Below are 26,911 nucleotides of genomic sequence, written 5' to 3'. Positions count from 1 at the left end.
TTCTGGAGTCTACGTTGAAAATGTAGACTTTTAGAATGTGGAGATTGATCCAAATTTAGGGAAAATGTTCCAAAAATGTCAGATGGCCTTTTCAGTGGGTGTTCTGGTTTATTGTTGTTCAACAAATGATGCCAAAACTTGGTGACTTAAGACGATGATTTGTCATCTCTCCTAGTTGAGTGGGTAGATGGGAATGAGCTAGGCAGTCCTTGCTTAAGGTTGCTCGTGCGTTTGCATTCAGAAGTGGTTGGACCCATCTCATCTGGGAAAGGCTGCATGTCTAAGTTGTTTCACCAACATGGATGCCAGTCAATGTTTTCTATCGACTGAGTGTCATCTGGGGCTATGATCCAAGTGCTTACACATGTCTTTTCTTTGATGTATGAGCTTCTCATAGCACCATTGCTGAACTGAAGAGAAAACAACAGAAGAAGTGTGTATGTGAGGCAGGAACATGAAGAAGCCTCCATTTTCTCTAAAGGACTACTCCTGGATTTGGACAGCGTCACTTCCACTGTATTTCCATTGATCACAGGATTTGCCCAGAATCAGAAGGCAGAGTGGCAATATCACATTGCAAAATAGCATGCAGGATAAGAGCTGTTGCTGTGTCCCTCTTTGGAATATGCAATCTGACAGATTGCTATTTAAAAGTGGACAGATGGAGCATTTTTGCAGCTAACTCAACAAACAAACACCCATAACACATGCATGCACACACACCAACACACACTATATCTTGATATTCAGTCAAAATTATTTCTTTCTTGACTTTAAATACTATGATAATTATCTTTACTGCCTACTTACCTATAAACACTAAGCCAGAAGCCAGAGTTTGAGATCTATCACTGTGATAGAAGTAGGAAAAAGAAAAAGCATTTGACAAAATTTAACACCCTTTCATGATAAAAACTCTCAACAGAATAAGTATAGAGGGATTTTAACTCAACACAATAAAAGCCATAAATGACAAAGCGGTAGCTAACATCATACTCAATGGTGACATGTTGACAGCTTTTCTCTGGGTTCAGGGAGAAGACAAGGATGCCCACTTTCAGTACTTTTCTACAGAGCTGTGGAAGTCTGAGCTGGAGCAATTAGACAAGAGAAATAAATAAAAGTCACCCTAATAGGAAGGGAAAAAGTGAAATTGTCTGTTGGCTGACAATATGATCTTATACAGAGAAAACTGTAACGACTCCACTAAAAGCTAATAGAATTGATAAATAAATCCAGTAAAGTCACAGGATACAAAATCAACACACAGAATTGGTAGCATTTTTATACACTAATAAAAAGCTATCTGGAAAAGGTATAAAGAAAAGAATCCTATTTACAACAGCAACAACAAATTAAATACTTAGGTATAAATTTAAAGTGGTAAAAGACTTGTATACAGAAAACTGTAAAACTCATGAAAATTTTTTTAAAAATCACACAAATAAATGGAAAGGTATGCTGTGCTTATTGCTTAATAGAATTAACATTGTTAAAATGTCCATACTATCCAAAGTGATCTACAGATTCAATGCAGCCACTATTTAAATTCTAATGTTATTTTTCACAGAAATGAAAAAAAAATTCTTAAATTTGCATGAGACCACAAAAGACCCCAAATAGCCACAATCTTAAGTAAAAAGAACAAAGCTGCTGCAGCCAGTTAAGCCACCTGAGTTCCTTTCCTCATAGGGGTCCAATGTGCAATGGCTGCAAACAGCCGCTTCCCTGTAGTATATGCTGCCCATTTCTTGTATGGGTTGCTCTAAGGGACCTTGGAGACAGGCTTTCAGATGGATGTTCTTGCCTCTGAACTTGCACTACCCCAATGCAGGCTCCAAACAGACATGTGAGGTGCCTTGGAAAAGGCCCAGGGCACTGTGGACAGGGTTCACATTGGCCAAGTTATCATGGCCATTTGCACCAAGCTGCAGAACAAGGAGCATGTAATTGAGGCCTTACGCAGGGCCAAGTTCAAGTTCCCTGGCTACCAGAAGATCCATGTCTCGAAGAAGTGGGGCTTCACCAAGTTCAACGTGGATGAATTTGAAGACATGGTGGTTGAGGAGTGGCTCATCCCAGATGACTATGGGGTCAAGTACATCCCCAGTCATGGCCCTCTGGACAAGTGGTGGGCCCTGTATTCATAAGGGCTTCCACTGTGCTGCCCCCTCTTAACACTCACCCACAAATTCTACCTCCTGTCAAAAAAAAAAAAAAAGAAGCGTCAGACTATCTGACTTCAAGATATATTACAAAGCACTTATAATCAAAACAGCATGGTACTCACATAACAACATATTGACCAAAGGAACAGGACAGAAAGCCCAGAAATAAACCCATGCATTTATAAGCAATTGAGTTTTGACAAATGTGCCAAGAACATACAACTTTGAAAGGACAACCTCTTCAATAAATGGTGTTGGGAAAACTGTTCATCTCATGAAGACTTCTATGAGGATTGTGTTTTCATGAGAACAGAAGAGGTTAAAACAAATAAAATGATAAAAGAGAATGAGGCATATTGAAATGTCTTCATTGCCTAGGGTAATACCTGAGATTCATTCCCTCATAGCCACGGAAAACTGTGACTCAGACCACCAGAGTGAGGTTAGGAGCAGAAGTTTAATAGGTGAAAGAAAGAGAAGAGCTCTCTGTACAGAGAGGGGTCCCAGAGAAAATGAGTTGCTGCTTCCACGATGAAGTACAGGAGGTTTTATAGATGAGCTTGAGGAGGTGGTGTTTAATTTACACAGGGCATGAGATATCGGTCAGCCCAGGTGTGCCATTTGCATAGCATGCAAAAATCTGGCCACCCCCATTCTAATATTTTTCACGCAGAAATCTACTGGCACCATGTTGCCTGTTCCTTTACTGTACACGTGGTGACAAAGAAAAGGGAAGATAGAGCCTCTGGGTTGAACATAGCTGGCCCTCAGGTAGTGCCGAATTTCAGGCCTTCATCTTTGTTTGGGGTTCTCCAGAACAGTACCTACAGAAAGAGCTGCAGTCTTGCTTCCCACCTAACCACTAGAAACCTACCTGAAATACACATCTAACCTTGTCACTATCAAAGTTAAATAAAAATAAAACCAAACTTTTTTTTTTGTTTAAGAGCCACTGCCTTAGCAGGATGCCACAGGACCTCAGTGACCTGGTGGCTGCTCCTGACTCCATCTGTAAAGGACTTTCCCACTTACATTTCCTGCATAGACTGTGGAGTGCCCTACCACAGGACTTTGTGTAAGCTGTCCCGTTATTAAAAGGCTAACCCCCCTGATTTTTATCTACACAACACCTACTCTTCCTTTCTGTAAGGACTTTGCTCCGGCATCACCTTCAGAAAATTTCCCTGCAGCCTCCATTCCTTGTCCTGAGTTGGATTCTCTTCTCTTCTCTGCTCTCATGAGTGCATCCTTCTAACAAGTCCTTAGCCTATTTTATTATCTCGTGTTGTGTCTATCTCCATGACAGGGCTTGAAGCCTTCTGCAGGCAGGGATCATGTCTTATTTTTATTTTTGTATCCATTGCCCATAGCATAGGCTATCAAAAAATACTTGTTGAACAAATAATTTTGTGTTCTTCCTGATCATTTGGAAGAAATGTTGCATTGTCAATAAGATGTTTAGTATTCTTTGTAAATGTTCTAGGAAACAGTATAAGGTACTTTGAGTTTATTTCCATCAATTTGCCAAATTTCAGAGTTCTATAGCTGTAGGTAACAAGCAAAACTAAGTAAGACAAGAGATGCACACTTGGTAGTCAGCGCCAAAATGTTATTAGCACTTTCTCATTTGTGCCACTGATGTACAATCATGTCTTTGTAGAAAGAGAGAGCTAACTTATTTTCCACGGAAATTGTGGCACAGATCACATACCAACCCTGAATTGGTTAATCTTTCTTCAACACCATAAAAATTATTTCAACCAATAACATTGTAATCCACACATTAGTTCTGAAGGATTTTTGTTCATTCAAAAGTGATCATCATTTGGTAGTCAGTGACATCCAGTCTTCTAAATTTTCAGAGGTCATTTTCCCCAGCTCTGAGATGAATGAAATATATTCAAGAAAAAACAAAAACAAAACAAGAAACTTGTTTGAGAAGGACTTAGCAAGGTCGATTTTGCAAAGTTAAATTCCTAAGTACAAATATTTTGATTTGAACATGTATAGATAGCACAGCCCATTCCTTTCAAAGGCTTGTACTACTACACAATTTACGGAATAAACTACACACAAACAGCCAGTGGCAATATCAGAAATGCAGCAGCCAAACCTAAATGAATTATTCACATAATAAACCCCTGTCAATTACTAGTTAAAAATAATGTGTGTGAGTGTAACAGAGAAATATCTGTTAAAATTATTGTGAAATTTGACTTCTTAATGTTTCTTCCATAACACATGTTCTTAAACATCATGTAAGCTCAGGAAGGTGGTGAGGGGCCTGTTCTCTCTGGCAACAGGTGATACATCTCCTCTCTGTCACTGAATCTCAAAGGAAACCATACAGAATGGAGGAGAGAAAGTTTGGCAAGAGATGAGCAATAACCTAACTTTAATTCTGTTCCCCTGTTTCTGAGTGCTCAGCTGGGGCATGTGGCTCATACGCATTCATGAAAACATTTCGCCATTGTGTGAGCCTACCAAGACAATCGATTTAGACAACACAATGGCTTGGGAGTGATAGGGCCACACTCCAAATTTCAAAAGTACCAGGACACACAAAATCAAAACAAACTATTTTTGTGATAATTGAATTTCACTCAGATTTAGCCACACAAAAAATGAACAATAAGGGAGTTGCTTCCAATTGCAATTTTAGAAAATGATGGAGGTGGCAAGAATCAGAAATACACGCTCGCCATTAACATTCAGAAATAATTTGTGTCAACAATTTTACATATATGACGTATGTATGTCCTTATTTTAAGAAGCATAAAGCTATTTATAGCTAAAGAATTAAACCTGTTAAATCACATGATTATGGAGAAAAACAACAGCTTTCAATGTTTTCTATCTGCAGGGCAGCAAATTGTCTTTAGGGACAATTTTAATATACGCCAGGAAGAACATTTATGCAAATGACACCTTCTCTAGAGCCAATGTTAAGAAAAGACTTCCTAAGTAAAACTGTTGTCCTGACTCATGAAACTTAACTCAGCTGAAGGAAGATGTACACTGGCCTCTTGTAATGTTTGAACTGTTTGAATCTGGTGCTTTTATTTGCAAAGGTGAGCGTTGAGGTTTTGCTTTTAATGAGAGTAGCCATTTTCTTTCTTTTTAATGCAGTTCAGGGTCTCTCTGCCACATTCAACAACAGTTTTCAAAGAATCTGCCTTTAGAAGTGACAGCATAAGTAGCTACTGAGTGGCTATTTTTCTACTAAGATAATTAATATTAATTAAGATTCATGACACATCATTGATCTATACATGTTTAATAAAAATTATGCATAATAAGATAATTTCTATAAGGGAAATCTGAGACTTGTTGCTTCTGGGTTTTGTTTCTTTCTTTGTTTTTTGTAGAGAGAGTTTCACTCTTGTTGCCCAGGCTGGATTGCAATGGCACGATCTCGGCTCACCACAACCTCCGCCTCCCAGGTTCAAGCGATTCTCCTGCCTCAGCCTCCCAAGTAGCTGGGATTACAGGAACATGCCACCACACCCAGCTAATTTTTGCATTTTTAGTAGAGAAGGGCTTTCTCCATGTTGATCATGCTGGTCTCAAATTCCTGACCTCAGACGATCCAACCACCTAGGCCTCCCAAAGCGCTGGCATTACAGGCATGAGCCGCCGCACCCGGCCTTTTTTTTTTTTTTTTGTAATGTTAGTAACTCTCCCCTTTCCTTCTCATGTTGCACCATAAAGGGTTGATAAAGTACACAGAGGAATTACTAGGATAATACCAGACAAGCTGCATTCACCAGTAAATAGAAAGATCAGACAGACACTCAGTTATTAAGAGAGTTGTTCAGACATGGAGTGTGTGCTTTAATAAGATCTTTGGAACATGTAGAAATAATATTTATTCTGTTGTAGAATTCAGGGTTTGTATAACTCCCTTGGAAACATAGATTGTTATTTAGATACTTAATAAAGAATATGAATCAAAGAAAAACGACAAGATTATTTTAGTTCGTGTTTCCTCGTTCTTAGAAGCTGTTAGAGTAGGTAGGTTAGGCGGACATGAGTAAGGCAGGAGAGGGAACCCCCAGGAATGTCAGGTGACCATTAAGCGATGGTCAGGTGGTTATTAAACTATCTCTGTAACGTAATAATTAGTTGCAGCCAGTGCCAGGGAAAGATAGTCTCCCAAGAGATAGAAAATACCTGACGCTGGTGATCAGCAGCTTCTGATAAGATTTCAGGGGTTGGGTGAGTGGGCTCAAACGTGGCACCAAGAAGCAAAATAGTGGAGTTTAACTGGTATATGACCTTCCTCTAGGAATGGTCAAGTGGTAAATGAAAAACACCTCAAGTAGGAACAACACACACCAGGGTCTGTTGAGGGGTGGAGGGTGAGGGAGGGAACTTAGAGGACCGGTCAACAGGTGCAGCAAGTGCAGCAAACCACCACGGCACCCACGTACCTATGTAATGAACCACCACGGCACCCGCATACCTATGTAACGAAGCACCACGGCACGCGCGTACCTACGTAACGAACCACCACGGCACCCGCGTATCTATGTAACGAAGCACCACGGCACGCGCGTACCTATGTAACGAACCACCACGGCACCCGCGTACCTATGTAACGAAGCACCACGGCACGCGCGTACCTATGTAACGAAGAACCACGGCACGCGCGTACCTATGTAACTAACCACCACGGCACCCGCGTACCTGTGTAACGAACCACCACGGCACCCGCGTACCTATGTAACGAAGCACCACGGCACGCGCGTACCTATGTAACGAACCACCACGGCACCCGCGTACCTATGTAACGAAGCACCACGGCACGCGCGTACCTATGTAACGAACCACCACGGCACCCGCGTACCTATGTAACGAAGCACCACGGCACGCGCGTACCTATGTAACGAACCACCACGGCACCCGCGTACCTATGTAACGAAGCACCACGGCACGCGCGTACCTATGTAACTAACCACCACGGTACCCGCGTACCTATGTAACGAACCACCACGGCACCTGCGTACCTATGTAACGAAGCACCACGGCACGCGGGTACCTATGTAATGAACCGCCACGGTACCCGCGTACCTATGTAACAAAGCACCACGGCACGCGCGTACCTATGTAACGAAGCACCACGGCACGTGGGTACCTATGTAATGAACCTCCACGGTACCCGCGTACCTATGTAACAAAGCACCCGCCTACCTATGTGACAAACCACCACGGCACCCACGTACCTATGTAACGAACCGCCATGGCACCCGCGTAGCTATGTAACAAACCACTGCACACCCACGTACCTAGGTAACAAAGCAGCACGGCACCCGCCTACCTATGTAGCAAAGCACCTGCGTACCTATGTAACAAACCACCACAGCACCCGCGTACCTATGTAGTGAACCTCCACGGCACCCGTGTAACTATGTAATGAAGCACCACGGCACCCGCCTAGCTATGTAACAAATCACCACGGCACGTGCGTACCTATGTAAGGAACCATCACAGCACCCATGTACCTATGTAGCGAACCTCCACAGCAACCGTGTAACTATGTAACGAAGCACCACCGCATCCGCGTACCTATGTAACAAATCACCACAGGACCCGCGTACCTATGTAACAAACCTGCAGGTTATGTACATGTATCCCGGTTTTCCTTTCTTAAGACAGTTTTAAAAAATAAGAAAGAAAAAAGAAAAACACCTAAAGTGAGCATGTGCACAACTTCAGTAAACACACTGAGCATGTGGACCCTCCCAAGTGCTGGCAGGCCACTGCCCATGCAGACAGCCCACCCCAAGGGAAGAATCAAGCGAGCAGAACTGCAAACTCCAGAATCACACTGATGTGTAAAACCCCAAGTCACGGATGAAATAGGGCACTTGGATCTCTCAAGTCACCCGCTGGGCCCTCTTCCAAGTGTACTTTATTTACTTCCTTTCGTTTCTGCTCTGAAACTTTTTTGACAAACTCTCAGTCCTGCTCAGAAACTGACCTTGGTTTCTTCCCCTGCCTTAAACTTACTTCTGCCCCTCAGCAGAATTCTTTCCTCCAAGGAGGCAAGGATCAGATGGCGTTTGCTGCAGATCTGTGGGATTTGCCACTGGTAACAAAGCTTTGTAATAGAAAAACGCATTCTTCTAATTTTGAAATAAAACTAAATTTTACCCAACCTTTTATCGCTGTCCAGAAATGACAAAAAAGTGACTAACCTTTTCTGAAACTGCATCTAATTGTGTTTTATATTTTCCTGCTGTGTATTTTCAGAGTATGATGTTAACTTAAAAATTTGAGAGTCATGCTATAAATTAAGAAATACTTCACAACAATAGACTTAGGGCAGCACTTAATGCTTAAATATAGCACTTAATGATTAAATGTAGTTATTTATTATTAACAAGTAATTGTCCATTCTGGCAGTTTGGTAAAGAGGATTTAAAAAAATAAATTGCCCAAAATGTCTATATTAGCAATATACACAAAATATATGAAGACAATGACACTCTTTGATTTTCTCATGAAACTTTTATACAAAATCCAGTCTAACTAGGAAACATCTTACATAAAGAGGAAAATTCTACCACTATTTCTGTAGTGAAAATGAAGCAAGGAGTTGGTAATTGAGAGCTAAGCACAAATCTCCTATAAGATCTTGGGAGATAAAGATAGGCAGAGATGGTACAATGAACTTGGCAACAACTAGCATATTATATGAATGTAAAATCTCTTTTGGTTATAATTCTGTGAAATCATGGAATTTTATAGTGCAGGATTCCAATTATTATTGACTACAAGATGAAGATTCATTTGTCTTAATACGTAAACTCTTGCTTACTTAAAATCTTTGGGGCTTATTGGCTTTGTATATGTTTTTATTGTGTAATTTTTTTAAGTTTCTTTTTATATATTTTGTGTCTTTTGTTCTGTATCATAGCCCAGAATTTAGAAAGGCCTGGTATATAATAGGCTCTTGAGAAACATTTGCTGTTTGATTAATAAATGTTGTTAATGAGAGAAGCAGATCAGAATTTGTGAACATAACTTTTTCTTGAATTTTTGTTTCTGGAAAAACTAAGGCTATATGAGTGATATTCACAAAGTATGAATGTTGCTACTCCTCACTGGTTCTTGGGAAAGGTATAACCCTGCCAAGAGCAAAGAAGTCACATTTCAGCTTTAACTTTTAAAAAGGACTTTTCAAACACTCTGAAGAAGGTCTATCATCCTATAAAACTTGTGAGAAAAGAACACTCGGTGCTGGACTTGAAATACCAAGAGAGAGGTTTGGTGAACTTATCATACAATTTTTACTATAATCGACAACATTAGTAAGATTAAAAGTATGAAAAAAAAAAAAACAGCTTTCTCATGCGATACAAGAGTGCCATAAAAGCCTTTTTCTTGGACCTGAGACTGGGGGTGGAAAGGAGTGAAAATTCAGAGAAACCATCAAGAAAGCATCGGGGCTGCAGTGGGCCCTACCTCCCGTGGCTTGCTCTTGATAGAAAAGTGCCGGCGGGTTTCAGGGGCTTAGAAACTCCATGTAAGTTTTATGGATTCATTGTTAGGAAACTTTTCCCTCCACTTTCTGTTTGGAATTCTGAGGAGGCCACCACACAGTAGAATAAAAATGACGATGTAATGTTTACAGACAGAGGACCTGCAGATGCCCAGCACACATTTGACTCACCATTCCTTCTCTGTCTCTCCAGCATGCATGAAATATGACAATTAAAGGTCCCATGGCCCTCATAGGAGACACAGAAGATGGCTAAGAATTGAGAATTAGCATGCTGCTAGGGAATTGCTGCCCTATAGACCCAGGAGACTCCATATCCAAGAGCATAAGCTGGGTAACCCAGGGAGAATGGAGAGAAGACGCCCTGCATCTTTGAGGATCGGCCACATCACAGGGAGTGGGGAGGAAGCAGTGCCCGTGGGCCTGGCTCTACATATTGAACTTGTGGGAGGAAACAGACAACCAGCTGCTCCACTCATGGACCCATCAGCAGTGAGTCAGTGAGGGAACCGGTGGGAAAACACACCTCAGTGGGGCCCAGGAAGCACCACTAGACAGACCAAGGAGAGGTACCCAGGACCAGACCAGGATATGGAACTGAACACCAAACTCCTCCTCATAAAAGTGAGATCATAGAAACTACGTGGAGGAGGAGAAGGCAGAAAGAAAGAATCATCAGCTTACTAAAATTGACTCTTAAATTTAACTAAATACTTGGAAAATTATCAAACACAACTGGCTAAATTCCATTAAAATAACACAAATACATTTTCAATCTTTGGTGGAATTGGCATTTCCAGGGATACACTGAATTCAGTTATCAAGAAATCACCATGAGGGCCAGGTGCAGTGGCTCATGCCTGTAATTCCAATGCTGTGAGGCCAGGAGTTAGAGACCAGCCTGATAACATAGCAAGACCCCCTTCTCTACAAAATAAAATAAAAAAATAAATAAATAAAATGATTTTGCGCAGAGAGAGAACAAACTGAAATTTTTTTTAAAAAGAGAGAAAAATAAAAATAAAATATCCAGGTGCACACCTGCAGTCCTAGGTACTTGGGAGGCTGAGAAGAGGGTATCACTTGAGCCCAGGAGTGATAATTGCACCACTGCACTCCAGCCTGTGCACAGAGAAGGACCCTGTCTCTAAACAACAACAACAAAAACTGCCACGGCAAAGTTGAGGGACAGCACTTCTATGCTCGGAGCAATGAATGATAAAATGATGGATTAGAAATAGCCACTTTCCACCCACAAGAAGATTGCAATCTAGTGGGAGAAACATTTGCATAAAAAAGAAAAATAAAAACAAAGTATTCCTAAGGAAAAATTGAAAGAGTATCAAATATATAATTACAATGATCCTTAGTTGAAAATTAAAAATTGAAAGGCATGGAGCTACCTTTTATTCCTATTTCTGCACTAACATTCTACAATAAAAAGTGAATCTTCAGGTGGAGGGACAATAGATTTTGAGATTTGCATTTCAGTGGCAGAAGGAGAAAGTTAATGATTGCAAGGCCATCTCTAAATTACTTAAAACTCTTTCAGACATAGTTTTCTGTAGAATGGGATGACTATCACATATCTCAAAAGTTAAATGTAATTATGTTTCTCAGATACTTTGTAGACTGTTGGTATTTCGGTAGGTAGCTAGATTATATGATTATCCCTTCTCCGAGATTAACAGTGGTTTTAGATGTTGTAACCCAAGAAAATCACAATACAGCAAAAGCAATCTTGAGCTAACTACAAGGTCTTTAGATCTTATTTTAATTTTTTAATTATGTGAAGGAACTGGATATATCATGTACCTATGAAAAATTTTAATTTGATATTTTGCCCTTATTATGTAACATGGGATAGAATCATCAAATGTGTGAGTGAGCAACATGGTAATGTCACTGAAAAGGCTCTATTATAACCCATTACTCATTCCTGAGCTTAGCATTGTAAAGATACCAATACTGATCTCTAGCTATAAAAACCAGTCTGGAATTATTTGCTACGCCATAGTAATCATTCCTTATGTATTATAAAGGGATTCAAAATTAGTGATCTTAGGAAAATCTTTATCAGCAAGATCTGTTTGGCAACTTCTCTTGTTTAAATTGCAGGGGATGTCAGCTTCACCCACGGATCTTTAATACATATTAGTTCATTTCCTTTCCCTTTCACAAATCTTATCTAAGACCAAACAAGCCCATTGTGTCATTGATAACAGTACATGAAAAGGGAAGTCAGGACCAAGTTTCATAATCTTTAGGATTTTAAACCCAAGGACTAACCTCAATATTCTCTTTTATTTGTATGTGAAAACAGCACTTTTTATTACTTTAAACATAGAACCAATTCTTGTGAAAGAAACCCCAACAAACTTCATGTTTAAGAAAATTAGTAGAGGGATTTGACTGACGTTTATAAAACAGAGCTGAACTTTGCCTTTTAATGTACATGTGAAACAAGATATAGTAATACAATTGAAAATTAAGATATTTGGTGGGGTTGAGGGAGTAGGAAGAACTATAAATAACTTAACAAAAGAAAATATGCAATCTCCCACGTATCTGCAAGTGAAAATTTAAACAGAGAAAATGGTGGTTTATGGTCATATTTCACTTGTCATACAAAATTTCCAAGGCAAAATTTTAGATGGTTATGAATTATGGTTATTTGGACTCATAGAACATTTAGGCTGGAATATCTGACCAACTCCACCTAGATTAAACAAGACACGTTCTAGGACAATGTTTGCTGCTTCTGCCCACAATTTTATCTTTAGCTCTTGGTGTCTTTCTCTGCATTTAACACTAAACTCAATACATTTTTATTGAATTAAATACATTCAATTAGGCACTGTTCTAGACATTGAAGATGCGTTTGTGATTCAGATGCCATAACTGAAGAGACATTAGAATAAAAACATTTCAAGCTACGCATTCTACAGAGAAGGAAACCAAGATCTTGTAAGATAGCAACTTTGGCAACGTCTCACGACTGATTAGTTGTAAGAAAAAACTATAATGTGAGGTCCACACCTAATTCATTGTTTATTCTCTGACTAGACAACACCTCCTGAGGCAAATCAATTCTTATCGGCTACCTGGTATGTTGTGTCAAAATGGACTTTCCTGCCATAACAACACAGGTATCCTTTTGGTCTTAGCATGAACCATTTAATGATATTTTTATGACATTATATCCTAGTTGACAGTACAACAGCATGGGATAAATTTTCTATTTAAAAACATGATGAATCATACATATGCTGCTTAATGGGGTAAAGACTAACAGCTTATGAAAATATCAATTTAGAAAATAGTGGAGCCCTATGCAATATCTACTAAGTATACATTGTGAGTCTCTTTATTTCTTTTCTTCCTTTTTTTTTTTTTTTTTTTTTTTTTTTTTGAGACAGAGTCTTGCTCTGTCACCAGGCTGGAGTGCAGTGGAATGGTCTCGGCTCACTGCAACCTCTGCCTCCTCAGTACGAGCGATTCCCCTGCCTCAGCCTCCGAAGTAGCTGGGACCACAGGTGCATGCCATCACACCCAGCTAATTTTTTGTATTTTAGTAGAGATGGGGTTTCACCATATTGGCCCGGATGGACTTGATCTCCTGATCTCGTGATCTGCCTACCTCGGCCTCCCAAAGTGCTGGTATAACAGGTCTGAGCCACCAAGCCCGGCCCTCTTTTTATTTCTTTTTTCCACTTTGTAGGCAAATTTATAGCACATTTATGGAAGAAAAACACATATTTGTGTATTTTAAATTTTATTAGAATATTCTGATAAACAATGCATTCCAACACGGAGGAAGAATGAAATGCCTTTAGGAGGTATTTTAGACTCTATATGTTACACTTCATTATGATTAGATACAAGTTATATAGAACTTATCACCCCCATTTTTGTTTCTATTTATTGCAGTATAAAATATTTTATAAAAGTAACACCAAATACTTACTACACATGTGTTTTCCCTTCAATTATAATTATGGAGACTAATTAGAAAATGCTTAATGGTATGCAGTAAACACACCTCAGAATAAATTAGGGGTGAGACATAGTTTTTGTTTGTTTACTTTTTATTTGGCTTCTTAATATTGTCAATTTTGGAGGAAGATGCTAGTAGAGTGTTTTCATAGACACACACACACACACACACACACACACACAAAACTAATGAATTGTTGGTTCTTTTCCCCTACAAGAGTTCACACTCCTCTAGATTGTGACCTTCACCCAAATATTAGTAAAATGTGCAGATCACACCAGCCACTTTACTGAGCAAGAATGGAAAAACTTAGAGTTCTCAGAAAGCAGGGTAGAACAAGCTTTCAATAAAGAACTATAGTGATCTGGGGCCATTATGAAAATTGACTGAAAACTACCTTGAAAGTCAAATCACTTGGGTCCATGATTTAACTGCTTGAAACATGTTGATCTATGTTTTTGTCCAGAATGCCTAACAGTGATCACTTAGGCCTCTGAAAGCCAAAGATGTCTGAGAGCCAGAACCGCATGTTGACACCTCAACAACGCTTCTCCAACAATCAATACAAATAAGATGCACCCAGCTCTCCAGAAGGAGACTGCTCTCTTGTTTTCAGAAATTAGAGGAATGAGATGTGCCTTCACAGAGGAGACTCCAGGAATTGAAAATCTTAAGTATTTATGTTTTATGTCTTTGGGAATAAAGACTACTCAAGGAATGGTCAAAAGTGAGACATCAGTTTGTTAACTAGAGAATGTTCGAAGGAAGGAATGCACAGAAGCGTTCTTAGGTAGGCACTTTTGCCTCACCTGAAGAGCAAATAGCGTCATACTCTACAGGTGGCCGCGTTATTCGTAATGGACAGCTGAAATGCTGAAATGCACGGCAGGACAGCAGCCCCCCGGGGCCTAGTAACAAGCATGCAATTCACAATGGAAAATTAGAATGCATTGCCCACAGATGCATGAAGGAACGCTTGGGAAATATGTTGTACAAATGCTTCATACAGAGAAAACACATTTAAAGATGAGAGTTAGGTAAGGATCTGTGGTCCTATGGAGGAAATAAAGCTTATTAATATGGTAAGTGGGATAAAAGGTTCCATTTGCGCTCATACCTTCAATTCAAAGGACTCACACCAGAGCGGAATTTCATGAAAGACGATGATTGTAACAAGAACGGCATTTAATGTTTATGTCTTTGAGATCAAGTATATACATGACCAGCAGAGACTTTGTGAAGAAGAGAAACTTCATAAATGTTTTATTGGACAAAAATAAAGTGTTTTTTTTTCCTACAAGAGCAAGTTTTCAGTCTCAGAGTGTTCAAAAAATGAGAAATTTCATAAATACAATATGTAAATATAACTTTTCTCTTGTTTTTATTAGTAATAATACAGTCTTAATGATAGAAAAATACATTTTAGGGTGAATAATTAGGTAACGGAAATACATAACTTCATGATCCAAAAAACCACTCATAGCATTTTGACAGATACTCTAGAAAATGTCAAACGTGTAGATACATATTTATTTTGATGGTATTTCATTGTATATATGATTTTGTAAAAATGTTAGTTACTTCTAAATAGTTTTGGTAGATTTCTTATAAAGTGAATTTTTGACAATGCATTCAGCATTATTTATAATTTATAGTATTTCCCTATTAAATACAAATAAAAACCTTGAAAAGCATTCTTGTGAACAAGTGTTTGCTCCCTTTTTAAACTTTTATCCTTGTGAGGAATGGCTTACGTGTTCCCCACAAAGAAAGAGCTTAATGCAATGAGGAAACACTTAGGTAAGTGTGCCCACATGTCCTACCTGATACCAGCTGGTAGCTAAGAGCAATCCCACAGTTTTTAATTTATTAACTGGTAAGTTCTCCTATGAAGAATAAGATCTGATGGGAGTGGATAAGAAGGCTTTGTGTCATTAGAATAATATTCCAAACACCACAGGTTTCTCAGACTTGTGTTCTTTACTTTTGGCTTCTTTATTGAGGAATTAGGATTTTTCTCATTTGAATATTGAAAATCACATTTTAAAAAACAGACAAGCAAACTTAAATAGACAACTTTAGGTTCATTTATAGTGAATGTGTTTTTTAAATAACATACAATAAAGAGAGATTTATTATACAATAAACTGTATATATGTAATACATTTTAATCATAAAAGCAACTGCTATTTGATAAGGCCTGTTCCTTTAAGTGCTATATCCCAGTTGACTATATTATTAAAATGACACTGGACAGTGCCCATTTTTAAAAGAAGAAAGCTAAGGTGTCTCCAGCCAGCCCATGGCCACCTTCTCTGTTTCTTCCCTGGGGGCTTCCCTCTGTTCATCTCTATGCTTTAATTTCTGTTTCTATAAGGACACCAATCAGATTGTATTGGTGCCCACTCCAACAATCGGTGCTATGTCCTGAAGCTTCTTCTGGGTACGGCCTCTTTTCTCATCTTGGGGTCAACACATTCTGTGTCAGGTTGTTTTATGATCGACCCTCATTTTTCTCTCATGGAGATGAGGGGAGGTGGGGCAGAACTTGAAGGAGCACACATTGTCTCCCCGTTGTCTCTGAACATCTGACAGGTGAAGCTCAAGACTTTAGTAGGTGGAAGTGGGGCCGTTTTGCAGGATCCCAAAGTCCAGGGAGATTTGGAGGTCCATGTCCTTGGGGACGTCCCGAGCAGCAGCCCAGATGTCTACATCCCATGTCTTCGGATCTCAATCCTTCCCATCCGGGGTCTGACTTTGGTGTAGAGCATTGCTACAGATCATACACCAAGTCTATCCAGAGTTTCATGACCTTTATAATTACGTCCTAGGTCTGATCCTTTCAAAGGCGGGAGACAGGAATTCTGTTTGCATGTTACCAGAGATGTCCAAATGCCTGTCACTTTTTCCTTAATGTGGTAAGTAATCACTCTTTCCTTTCATTAGTACATCCATAGCATTTACTAAGAACCACCTAATTTCTTTACTCTTTAATTATGACTTCCCACACATCTATCAGCTGCCAGGGATATTGCAACTGCTAGTGCATTCTCTTCCACTGTTCCCCTATTCCCATTCTCCACCAGTGGAAGTTTTAACAGCCACATGGCTACTGCATGCTACGGTCTACTCAAAATCCACTCCAGACCAGGGAGGGTCAGACAATTGGCAAGAGACGTTATGCACCTGTAAAATCTCACTATAAAGTCTTCTTCTTCAGACTAGTTTTAGTATGAAGTGTCTGAGGTGGGATTCTCTGGAAACTAGTCTTTGAGGTTGAGATACTCTGGCAGGAAATGTATGGAGAGCACTCCAGTGATAGATGTGGGTGAGTAAAAGGACAAGGCTGGTTACAGGGAGGCAAACTGCGATGCCCTTGGAAGAAACGACCCAGCCAATATCATAGGGAATCTGGAGGTTGGAAAGTTCTTGAAATTTGCCCAGAATTGAGGTATCATATGCTGTATCCTGGAAAAAAAATCACTGGCTGCAGCTCCTCCCAGACGGCAAGACTCACCTTAAGCAAAGAAGCAATCTTTGGCTGAGGGCAAGTCCTGAGGAAAGTGTAGGCAATCTCCTTGAGAGACTCACTGTGAGCCTTCAGCTGACAACGCTGTCCACAGCTGTGAGGATTAAGGCTTCTATCAGGAACTAAAGATCAGGGAAGCATCTATGGCTCTTAGAAATCCAGGAAAAAAAAAAAAAAAAAAAACTAGCAGAGAAAAATCTTTAGTTTAAGGATGTATTAATGTGAGACAGAAGTCCTATCCGCTCTACAATCCATGAGACAAATTGTGACAGAGTCCTCCAGTACCAGTATTAAAAGCAATCCAAGTGTTTCATTCAGCCAAATTGTCTCACCGGGAACAATGCAGGAACAAACACTATTTTCATCAGAGTGCAGAGGATGAAGTGTTCTGCCATGGTGTTCTCAATTTTATTACTATTAATAGAAATTAAAAATTATAAAATATTTTAAAATGTTGGAACACTGAGAAAAAGCATCGTCCTTAATGTTACAAAATGACCGTCTTCATTTTATTAATCTCTCAGCTACCCACTCAGTGACCAGGGACTTTTGCATTGTTGTTACTTCAGGTTGTATTCAATTTCTATCTTGATTTTTTCTTTTAATATTGCTTTAAAAATTTTAAAAATTTAATTTGTTTGAAATATAATTTATGTATAGTAATGTGCCTCAAGTAAAAGTGTACAGTTAGATGAGTTCAAGAGTCATGTACACACACAAACCCATCACCTTGGACAAGATCCAAGATACTTTTGTTTCCTCCCTTCACGCCACGTCACCCATTAAAAAAAAAAAAAAAATTCTTTGGGTTCTTTTGTTGTCGAGACCTATCTCCACCTAGCCCCAGGCAACCAAAGGTATGGATTGTGTTGCTATCGATTACTTTACATTTTCTAACATTGTCTATAAATTGAATCATACATTGTACACTCTTTCACCGGCTTCTTTCACTAAGCACACTGATTTTGAGATCGAGTTCTGTTGTTACATGTATCAACAGTTCATTCTTTATATTGTTACATGGTATTCAGATGAGATCGGGCATGTTCAGGGTGGTATGGCCGTGCTACATAGTATTCAATTGTCTGGATATAATAAATTTTTGTATCCCTTCACTGGTTGATACCAATTCTAGTTTCCAATTCTGGATTATCATGAACATAGATATTTGTACTCAATATTTTGTACGCGTAAGTTTTTATTTCTCTTGGGTAAATACATACAAGTAAGTTGCTAGGACAAATGGTAAGTGCATGTTTAACTTTTTAAGACAACTGTTTTCCAAAGTTGTGGTAGTATTTTAAATTCTCTTCAGTAGTGTATGAGAGTTCCAATCGTTCCACATGATTGTTAATAGTAGGTATTGTTGGTGTTTTTAATTATTGCTATTCTACTGAATGCATAGTGTTATCTTTTTGTGTTCATAATTGCCATTTACCAGATGACGTAGTAAGCATGTTTGATGTGCTCATTAGCCCTAGTGACTTCCCTTGGCACTCTTATCAAAAACCAAGTGTCTAGTTGAAGAAACAGATTCACAAAATTGGACAACTGGATTTTAGTAATAGTGCCAAAATAATTTCTGGGTAGGGATTATGGAAGACTTGCTTCCTGTGTACACGCACGTGCGTGTGTGTGTGTTTGTGTAATTTCTGTGTTCTTCAAATTTTCTGTATTAAGACATTACTTTTCAGCCATAAAATCAGAAACTTTTTTTTGTAGGTAGAAAGGTATAAGAAAGTTTATAGTCATTGGTTTTCAAACATCTTATAATTATTTTATAAACCCAAGAAATGCAGGGCTGTAGGGACTCCTCTTTGAATTGTACTTCTGAAAAGAAGAAACTTCTTTTCAGCTATGCTGATGGAAAGGATTTCATCTCTTTTATTAGTCAGTTAGTACTATCTTTCAAGTTATCATAATCTCATCTGCTGAAACTGAAATTATTTATGCTGAAGGTTTTCCAAACAATAAGTAAATTATAGTGCATGATGTTTTCATACAAAGTTTCTGACTGAACATTTCTTTTTGAAAGAAATTTTAAACTGAAATAAAGCAGAAACTTTATATATTAAATTCAATTTGATTTCATTTTCAGTAATGCTCTCTGATTTAAAAAACACTGATTTACATAAGTTGAATCAGCAAAATTTTTGCAATTAATTCTAAATATGGCAATATCAACTTTTACAATGATTGTTTCCTTTCCTGGGTTCCTAAGGATTTGCTTGGATTTCCGAAATTTATTGAAAAAATTAATTCTAAAACATAGGATTTATTTTACATCTGTCCTATTCCATACAAATTCTAATATTTTTCATTATTAGAATTACATCTAAGGAGATTGATTTTTGGTAGGAACAAGTAAGAGATAACAGTGGTTTCTTGAATGTGAAAAATGAACAGAACCTATTTATTGAGGCGTTTCTGCTCACCATAGTGTATGGATTAATGGTTACATTTAACTATAAATCCATTAAAATGTGATTTCTTAAATCCTCCTTTTCTTCAAGTAACTTTTGTTAGGGGACACATTGAATACTAGGTGTTGATTTTCCCACACCAGCTCCTCTCGCTGGGCATGAGTGGATGCATACAGCAAGAGGATAAATCGGGAGTAATGACTCTCACAGGGCATGAGTAGATGCATACAGCAAGAGGATAAATCAGGAATAATGAAAGGCCATGCAACAACAACAACAACACAACACCTCCATGTAAGTGCAATTCTGAGTCAACCTCTTGTATTAAATGCCACCAAAACTTAGGTGGTATTAATTGTTATGGGGCCTAAAGTAACATAAAAATCAATGAGCCAGGGACTATAACGGAATGGAGGGAGGGCTGGCCACACTAAGATGGTGATGGATCACCCAGATGGTAAATTGGACCATAAATCTTTGGTTGGGTAAATAACGTCTTACAAGGGGCCTTACAACTGCCTTTAAATCATGCATGTTAAAATGTGGAATATGTCCAAAGAGCAAAACTGAGGTCCATTGATACAACTCACACGTGGAAAGAGCTGAGTCTCATGTGCTGGGCTCTCCCGCAGCGTGTGCACCTGGAGCCTGTCTGTCCTGCAAGGCACTACATGATAGAGTGATCTCCCCATTTTTTCTTATCTGGGATCCATCAATTAATTAACTGGCCCTTTCTGCCTAGATTTCCATAACCTCATTATAAAAGAGAAGAGCTTAGAAAGCATCTGGTGACCTGGAACCTACCAAGATGAAAACCATGAGAAAGTATCCAAGAGTTGTGTAGGTTTAAGTATATATCCACACTTCCCCTTTGGAAAAACCAAGGATAAGTTCTTCTCAATATATTATTTTCCCAAAACTCACCCCCAGCCACCAAAAAAAAAAAAAAAACAAAAAAAAAAACAAAAAAAAAACAAATTATAAAACACCAGTGAAAACACTTCCTATTGCTTTAAAAAGCTAGAAACAGACTGTATAATTGTGGCTTGACTTGGTCCTTCTTGCTAATTGTAACAACATGGGCATACACACTCTCTTTTTAAAGAAATATGCTTGGACTTCAGAAACATGTGGCACAGAACACAAACTCCCACTTGTTGGAATAGTCACCAGTCATCAGACGTTCCTAGAGAATAAAAATTAGTGACACAAAGTGAATCATGCCTTTAAAATTGCCATTCAAGTAATCAGACAAAAAATAAAAAATAAAAAATAAAAAATAAAAAAAAGAGATATGGTGCTGAGTCACTCAGAACTGGAAATAAATTTCGGGACAGCTTTTACAGGCTCAGGGAACTGGCTTCTTCTCTTATCTTCAAGGCAGCTTCAGCTGAACTAAAACCAGCGCTGGCATTCGGAACACGGTTTAAGAAGATATAAAGAAACGAAAGATGTTTTTTTTTAAAAAAAAAAAGCCTCTTACGACTATAAATCTACCATTTTAGGGTCATACATTGATAGGTAGGTGGGTCGGGATTGGCAAAACTTGATTCAAGTACACTACTGAAGACAGCAGATGGTTTGTGGTTTCTTTCCACCATTGCACTCCTTCCTGCTACTTATTTTATATTTATATTAGGGTATGGTCACAATTCTCAAACATATGTCTTTAATACTGAGGAATCAATTTAAGTAAGGATGAAAGTCTTTTGATTATACGCATACAGAAATTATTGTGTCCTTGATAAGGCTTCCTAAGTTATAAAGTGGTATTTCCTTAATTTGTCTAAACTAGATAATTAAATAGGGTGATACTATTTTAATAAGACATTCAAACTGGCAAGTTGATTCATTTGATTGAAATGTAAAACCAAATGATGATGTAAAAATTCAGCTTGTTAGTAGAATCCTTCACAATATGGGGTCTCTCACCCAGTCATTTTTGGTGACAAGAAAATTTAACTTCAGCAACTGAGGCTGTGGAGAAAGATGATACCATATCAGCACCAAAATGGATAACATTTCAAAACCGAAATAGCTTCATTTTGTTACAAAAATATACTTTTTATGAATTTTACCAAGAATACACTTTTAAAAAGAGTATAAGATCCCTCATTGTGTGTTAGAGCTATGTTGAGGCTTTTAAACAGCTTATATGGAGTTGAAATAAGTAGCGTGTGATAGGAAAAAGAGTTCAAGTTTGAGAAGGTATTTATGGGCTAGGATCTCAGCTGTGATCCATCCTAGCTTTCAGGCCCTCCTTTAGATTCTATTTTTTTCTCAACTTGCTTAAAGCTAAACCAATGGTTTCATCTATCTACCTTCATGACCCCAATTTTTAGCCTCTCTCTCTGTAATCATCTAGACTGATTTCTTTTGTGAAATAATAGAACTGCCTTTGTGGTCACAGCCATTTATTCCTCCTCTTTTTGTGACCCAACATCTATACCAATCCTTTTAAAAAAATATTTTCTTTGTACCATAAGCCCATAGATGCCATCCTTTATTCATATTTATCAGCAGCTTCCAGTCTTTGCTTTCCTCCACTGTGGCTGCAGACTCTGTGATCCTCTTCCCGACACAGTCTCCGGACGGTATTCCCAACTTTCTTACTCATTGTCCTCTTATCAGGGATATTAGCAGAGAGATTCCAGTCTCAGTTGAATATAACTGCCCACCTTCTCCCCTTTCATATTAGCGATTTTTCAAGGGATAACCTTTCTTGCATGCCGTACCTCCCAAACCTTAAAGTCTTCAATCTCCATAGAGCACTGAAAAGTTACCAGGTAATCCTGCTATACTGCAGTCATCAACCCGTTTTATTCTCCATAGTGGCAAATACGAATATTCTTCTTTCCCCTACCTTGTCATTAACCACAAGAGAAGTTGTAACTCATAGAAAAAAAAATACAAATTAACACTTTTTAAAACTCTTTCAACTTCCTGTCAAGCCTAAAATGTTCTGGATTCTATATTTACTTTCCTTTATCCGTTCTGAGAATTTCACTTCCTGTGTTTTGAAAGCAGGGCCCAGTTCAGAGCATAAAACATTAATTCTGGGATAAATTATTCATGGAAAAGTCGTGTGCGCTGATTAATCAAGAGTTTTGAAGCAGAATCCAGGGCATGACACATCACTGAGACATACAGCTACACCTTCAAGGAGGTCCAATGATGTCTCCAATACCTGGAGGAATTCGAAGTGGAACAAGGACTGGGGTGGCTGACTTCCATTATGGACATTCTCTTTAGATCATGTAGCTTCACAAGAGTGCAATGTCTCTGCATAGAAAAAATAATCATCCCTCAGGGGAGGAATTTTAGGCTCGGCAGAAGTTGATTTTAAGATCTTGGGTTAGTTAGTAACATAAGGTGAAGGAACCTAGTTTCATTGAAGGCATGCCACGTGGATAATATCAGTGAGCTTCTTGAAATAAGCATGAAGTCATACTTACCTTTGAATAAGCAAATGGCAATGTGAAATCCATGCCTACAAAGTATAGTCATACTACCAGAAACGTTCTTCTTTTCTCTTCTTTTTATTCCTTATCATTCTCTCTCTCAAACCTGGAAACTAGAGATTGATGTCTGCAGTTAACATTAATTATCTAGCCAAGTGGTGCTTCCTGGGCTGTCAAGGGATATATGGAAGGTTCGACTGGGGTTCCAGACTTTCATACATAGGCTTTATAGAAAGTTTCATTTCCTCTATATGTTGGATTTCTATACTTGGGCTATATGACTATTGTTCAGGTGCTTTATCTAAACGGTCATTCTGGGTGTTGTGGAAGTGATTTGTAAAGAGTCAGTGAAGCCCACGCTATGCCTTTTCTTGATGATGTCTCTATTGGTTCACAAAGGAGGGGTGATAGCTGATCACAGAAATGCCTGTGGGATACATTGACATGTAAAATACATAAGGTGACTCAGGAAAACCAAAACAAGAACTAGGAAAAGCCAAAGGCATACCTGACAGATATTTTAGAGGCTAAGTGTCCCCTGCCTGCTTTGCTATGCTTCCTCTGCATAGTGTGACCTGCAGCTCCCATCAGGTGTGTGGTGCTGTGGGGCCACGGGGAACTGAACTGAGGTGGTCCCAACTGTTCCTGCTGAGAAATGAGGCTCATATTCCACTTACTTAGTTTCAGGAATAGAACTATAAGGTTATGTATGGATGTCATTTGAAGGGAGTACTCTGGGTTATCTATTTCTTTTATAAATTTGGACTTTAAATAAGAGTACTTTATAAAAATGTCTAGATAGTTTTGTTTTTTCTTTTGAAAATTACCTATCAAAACACTATTGTATAGCGCATTATGACAATGAGGTTAAACAGATGTCCTAACCTATGTTCTTGGTTTATTAAGTCCCACCTTGCTTAAAATGTTGAAATAAGCCAGTAAAGATAGAGAGTATAATTAAATATATGCATGAAGAACACCAGAAAGAACTCGGGTCCCAGAGACAAAGGGCAAGATTGGATTCATTGGTCCCTGATGGCTCCTAATGAAACTTTAACCAGATATTTCTGCCCTTAGCTACCGTATCCTAAGTTCTTTCCTTGTAATAAATTCTTCTTGACTTAAACTGAATTGAAGAATCTAATTGGTTGTTTCTTGCAGCCATTACAAACTAAAGCTCTCCACAATTTTTATGTTGCAAGGCCTATGTATTTACTAGCTGCTGGGTACAAAGAAACCTTGTGGAGCCACAGAAAGAAAGCAAAGTGAATAAATTGCATTGTCCATATTTTAAAAAATGGAAAATAAACGCAACTATTATCTAATATTTGTAAGAGAGAAGTGTATCCCCTGGGTCTTCATAGAATAAGGTTTGTGTACTACAGAGAAAGTTATCTTCAAGAACATTCTTACAAGAAACATGACAGTGAATTTCAAAGGATTATATTTATTCAATTTCTTAATAGGAACCAATCTCATAATACCAAAGAGAAAGATAGTAAAGGGAGATCAGTGTGGGTGCTCAAGACATAGAGACTTCATCTAGCTAATAATGATGGTATAAGAAACCAGGTCACCTAATTCTTAGTTTAGTGCTCTTTTTTCTCCCTACATCTTGTATGAAAGGAAGCCATTGACATATGTGTATATGTATGAGAGACATAGAGAGACAGAGACAAATTAATCTCCCCATGATGTTTACGTGTCAGTGATACATTGTGAACTGGTAAAGAAAAATCTTTCTCTTCCATCCCGCCCCTCACACACACACACACACATACACACACACAGCACACATACACAACACACACAACACACAGACACACACACAACACACACAGGAAACACACACACAACACACACACACACACAACACTGCTGAATGAACCTAATATAGGTGAAGGAAAACCAATCTTTCTCTGTGGGTCTAAATGTATTGAAAATTGGAGGCGATCTATTATTTAGTAATAGAAGAATTTCAGAAGAACTCTGAGAACCAATGTGGTATGTTTTCCCCTGGGTTCTTGAGTACTTTCTATTTCTTTACATTCACTAATCTAAGCTATTGATTCCAACCTGGGGAAGCACCTAGTCAGATAAGTCTTACTTTGGTTTGTTAGTTTAACCTAAATAATTTAAATGAAATAGAAAATCTCAATAAACTTTGGGGAAGTGGTTTCAGAGTCCTCATCTCCTACATTAAAGCAGTGAAAAAAGTTAACCTTTTTTTTTCTGTGATTGCTATAATGTGTGGAAATACAGCAAGCATTTTTCCTTATTCACTAGCCTCTTCTCTACGAACTCTTTTTTCTGTAATTGCTCCTGTAACTCCTATAGCTCTGGGTTGTAGAGGGAAAAGTAATATCTGTGGTGTTGAGTCCACTATTCATCATAGGATGTTAAATCTCAAAAAGACAGATCATCTAGATTTATTCTTTAATATTACAGGTAAGGAAATATGAACCCAGCCAGGAAAAATCACTTACCTAAAGGCATATAAGTAACAGAGGATGGGGTAAGGAATAGAGCCCAGGATGCTCACTTTTAGATGAGTGCTCAAATGTCACCAAAATCAGGTGGTCCCTCCCTTACACTATTCACTGATAATAAAAGAGAATTTGACTCCCTTGGACAGCTATATGAACCTCCAAAGTCATTGTTTTCACTTATCCAATCGTCTTTCTTTCTCTTTCCATTGACTAATTTTTCTGAGCCTTCAACATCTGTAGTTATTTTATAAACTATAATTAAGTGATACTAACCTATTTAGGGTGACCTCCCTTGATTTAGCCCAGGCATCTCCAGTTTTCCATGAGCCAGCCTCTTCTTGATCATATTCTGTGATGAGGTCCAAGATGTTTTATTTCATCTGGAGATAAACTCAGAGAGTTGGAAAGTTCTCCTTCACAATCAATTTACATAGTTCCCTAGGCTGCTGGCTTATCGATTCTAGTTCTGTGCCTTTCTAGACTTTTAAAAAGCTGGAGTGGGGACTCCTACATGTGAGGCTCTTTCACCTATTTGCTGTCAGGGCTCAATTCCCTTTGAGTTTGCCCATCATGCATCCAGCGTCTACCCATATTCTTGATTAATTACTAAGATAAATATGTACTGAGCAACTTCTCTGCATCCCACACAGTGCAGGTAACTAAACAGAAGGTGGAAAAACATGGAATATATTCTTTTATTAGTCCTTTAATCTAGGAATGGGGTAAATATTAAACAGATAACTACACAAAAATTAGGGTGTTGTGTAAGAACAAAAAGCCAGAGAGCTCTGAGAGAGTAAACCAGAGAGGCTGAAATGAGTCTAGAGAAATAGGAGACTCGATTTCTCTGCACCCTGTGCTATTCTACTTTCATTCAACTAGGAGATTAAGAGATGCTTTCTGTGACCTTGGTCACCGCTAGACGATGGTCCCCATTTAGTCATTTATCGTGTTTGTTCATATCTTTCTTGCCAAGAGGTTCTTAGAATGTAACACAATGTTTCATTTGGTAATCATCTCACCAACAAAGAGTAGGGTATAACTACCACATTTACCATTGCGGATGCTGTATTTCTCCTTATAGTTATTATTTTAGAATTGCTGCATGTGTTTAATTTCGGATTTGCATTGAAAAATATAGTCTTACTGTACAATATGTCAAACATGTGAATTATGTGTAAAAAGCAAGGAATATATCATGTGAAAATGAGATTGTGAATATGTTATTAATAGTAAAATGTCAGGTGGAAAAATAGGCAGAGTCCAACTTGGACATATATCTGTAGCTTTCATTTTTCCATCTATTTCTCTCTCTCGACACACACATGAATATGTTT

General features: G+C 38.4%; 1 long non-coding RNA gene and 1 other non-coding gene across 2 annotated transcripts in view, besides 1 other annotated feature; both read left to right on the top strand.

Moving 5' to 3' along the window:
• Positions 1 to 16,786, top strand: part of LOC107986907 (uncharacterized) — a 32,533-nt gene extending 15,747 nt beyond the window's left edge. The window contains exon 3 of the long non-coding RNA XR_001745763.2: positions 16,504 to 16,786. This is a non-coding gene — a long non-coding RNA (uncharacterized LOC107986907). The remainder of the gene's footprint in view (positions 1 to 16,503) is intronic.
• Positions 1,467 to 1,975: an enhancer, noted in NCBI's record as "NANOG-H3K27ac-H3K4me1 hESC enhancer chr8:4985613-4986121 (GRCh37/hg19 assembly coordinates)". NCBI's record gives its function as "activates a minimal SCP1, AML or CMV promoter by ChIP-STARR-seq in naive H9 embryonic stem cells {active_cell/tissue: H9 hESC(naive)}" and the evidence as "EXISTENCE:reporter gene assay evidence [ECO:0000049][PMID:30033119]".
• LOC124900260 (small nucleolar RNA SNORA70) lies at positions 1,654 to 1,787 on the top strand. The gene has a single exon (XR_007061201.1). It is a non-coding gene; the product is annotated as a small nucleolar RNA SNORA70 (small nucleolar RNA).
• Positions 16,787 to 26,911: the final 10,125 nt, after the last annotated feature.

The sequence above is a fragment of the Homo sapiens genome, chromosome 8 (genome assembly GCF_000001405.40).
Source record: "Homo sapiens chromosome 8, GRCh38.p14 Primary Assembly".
In the NCBI taxonomy this organism is placed as follows: Eukaryota; Metazoa; Chordata; class Mammalia; order Primates; family Hominidae; genus Homo; species Homo sapiens.
The sequence above is the reverse complement of the archived record's forward strand: the minus strand, read 5'-3'. Positions and strand labels throughout refer to the sequence as shown.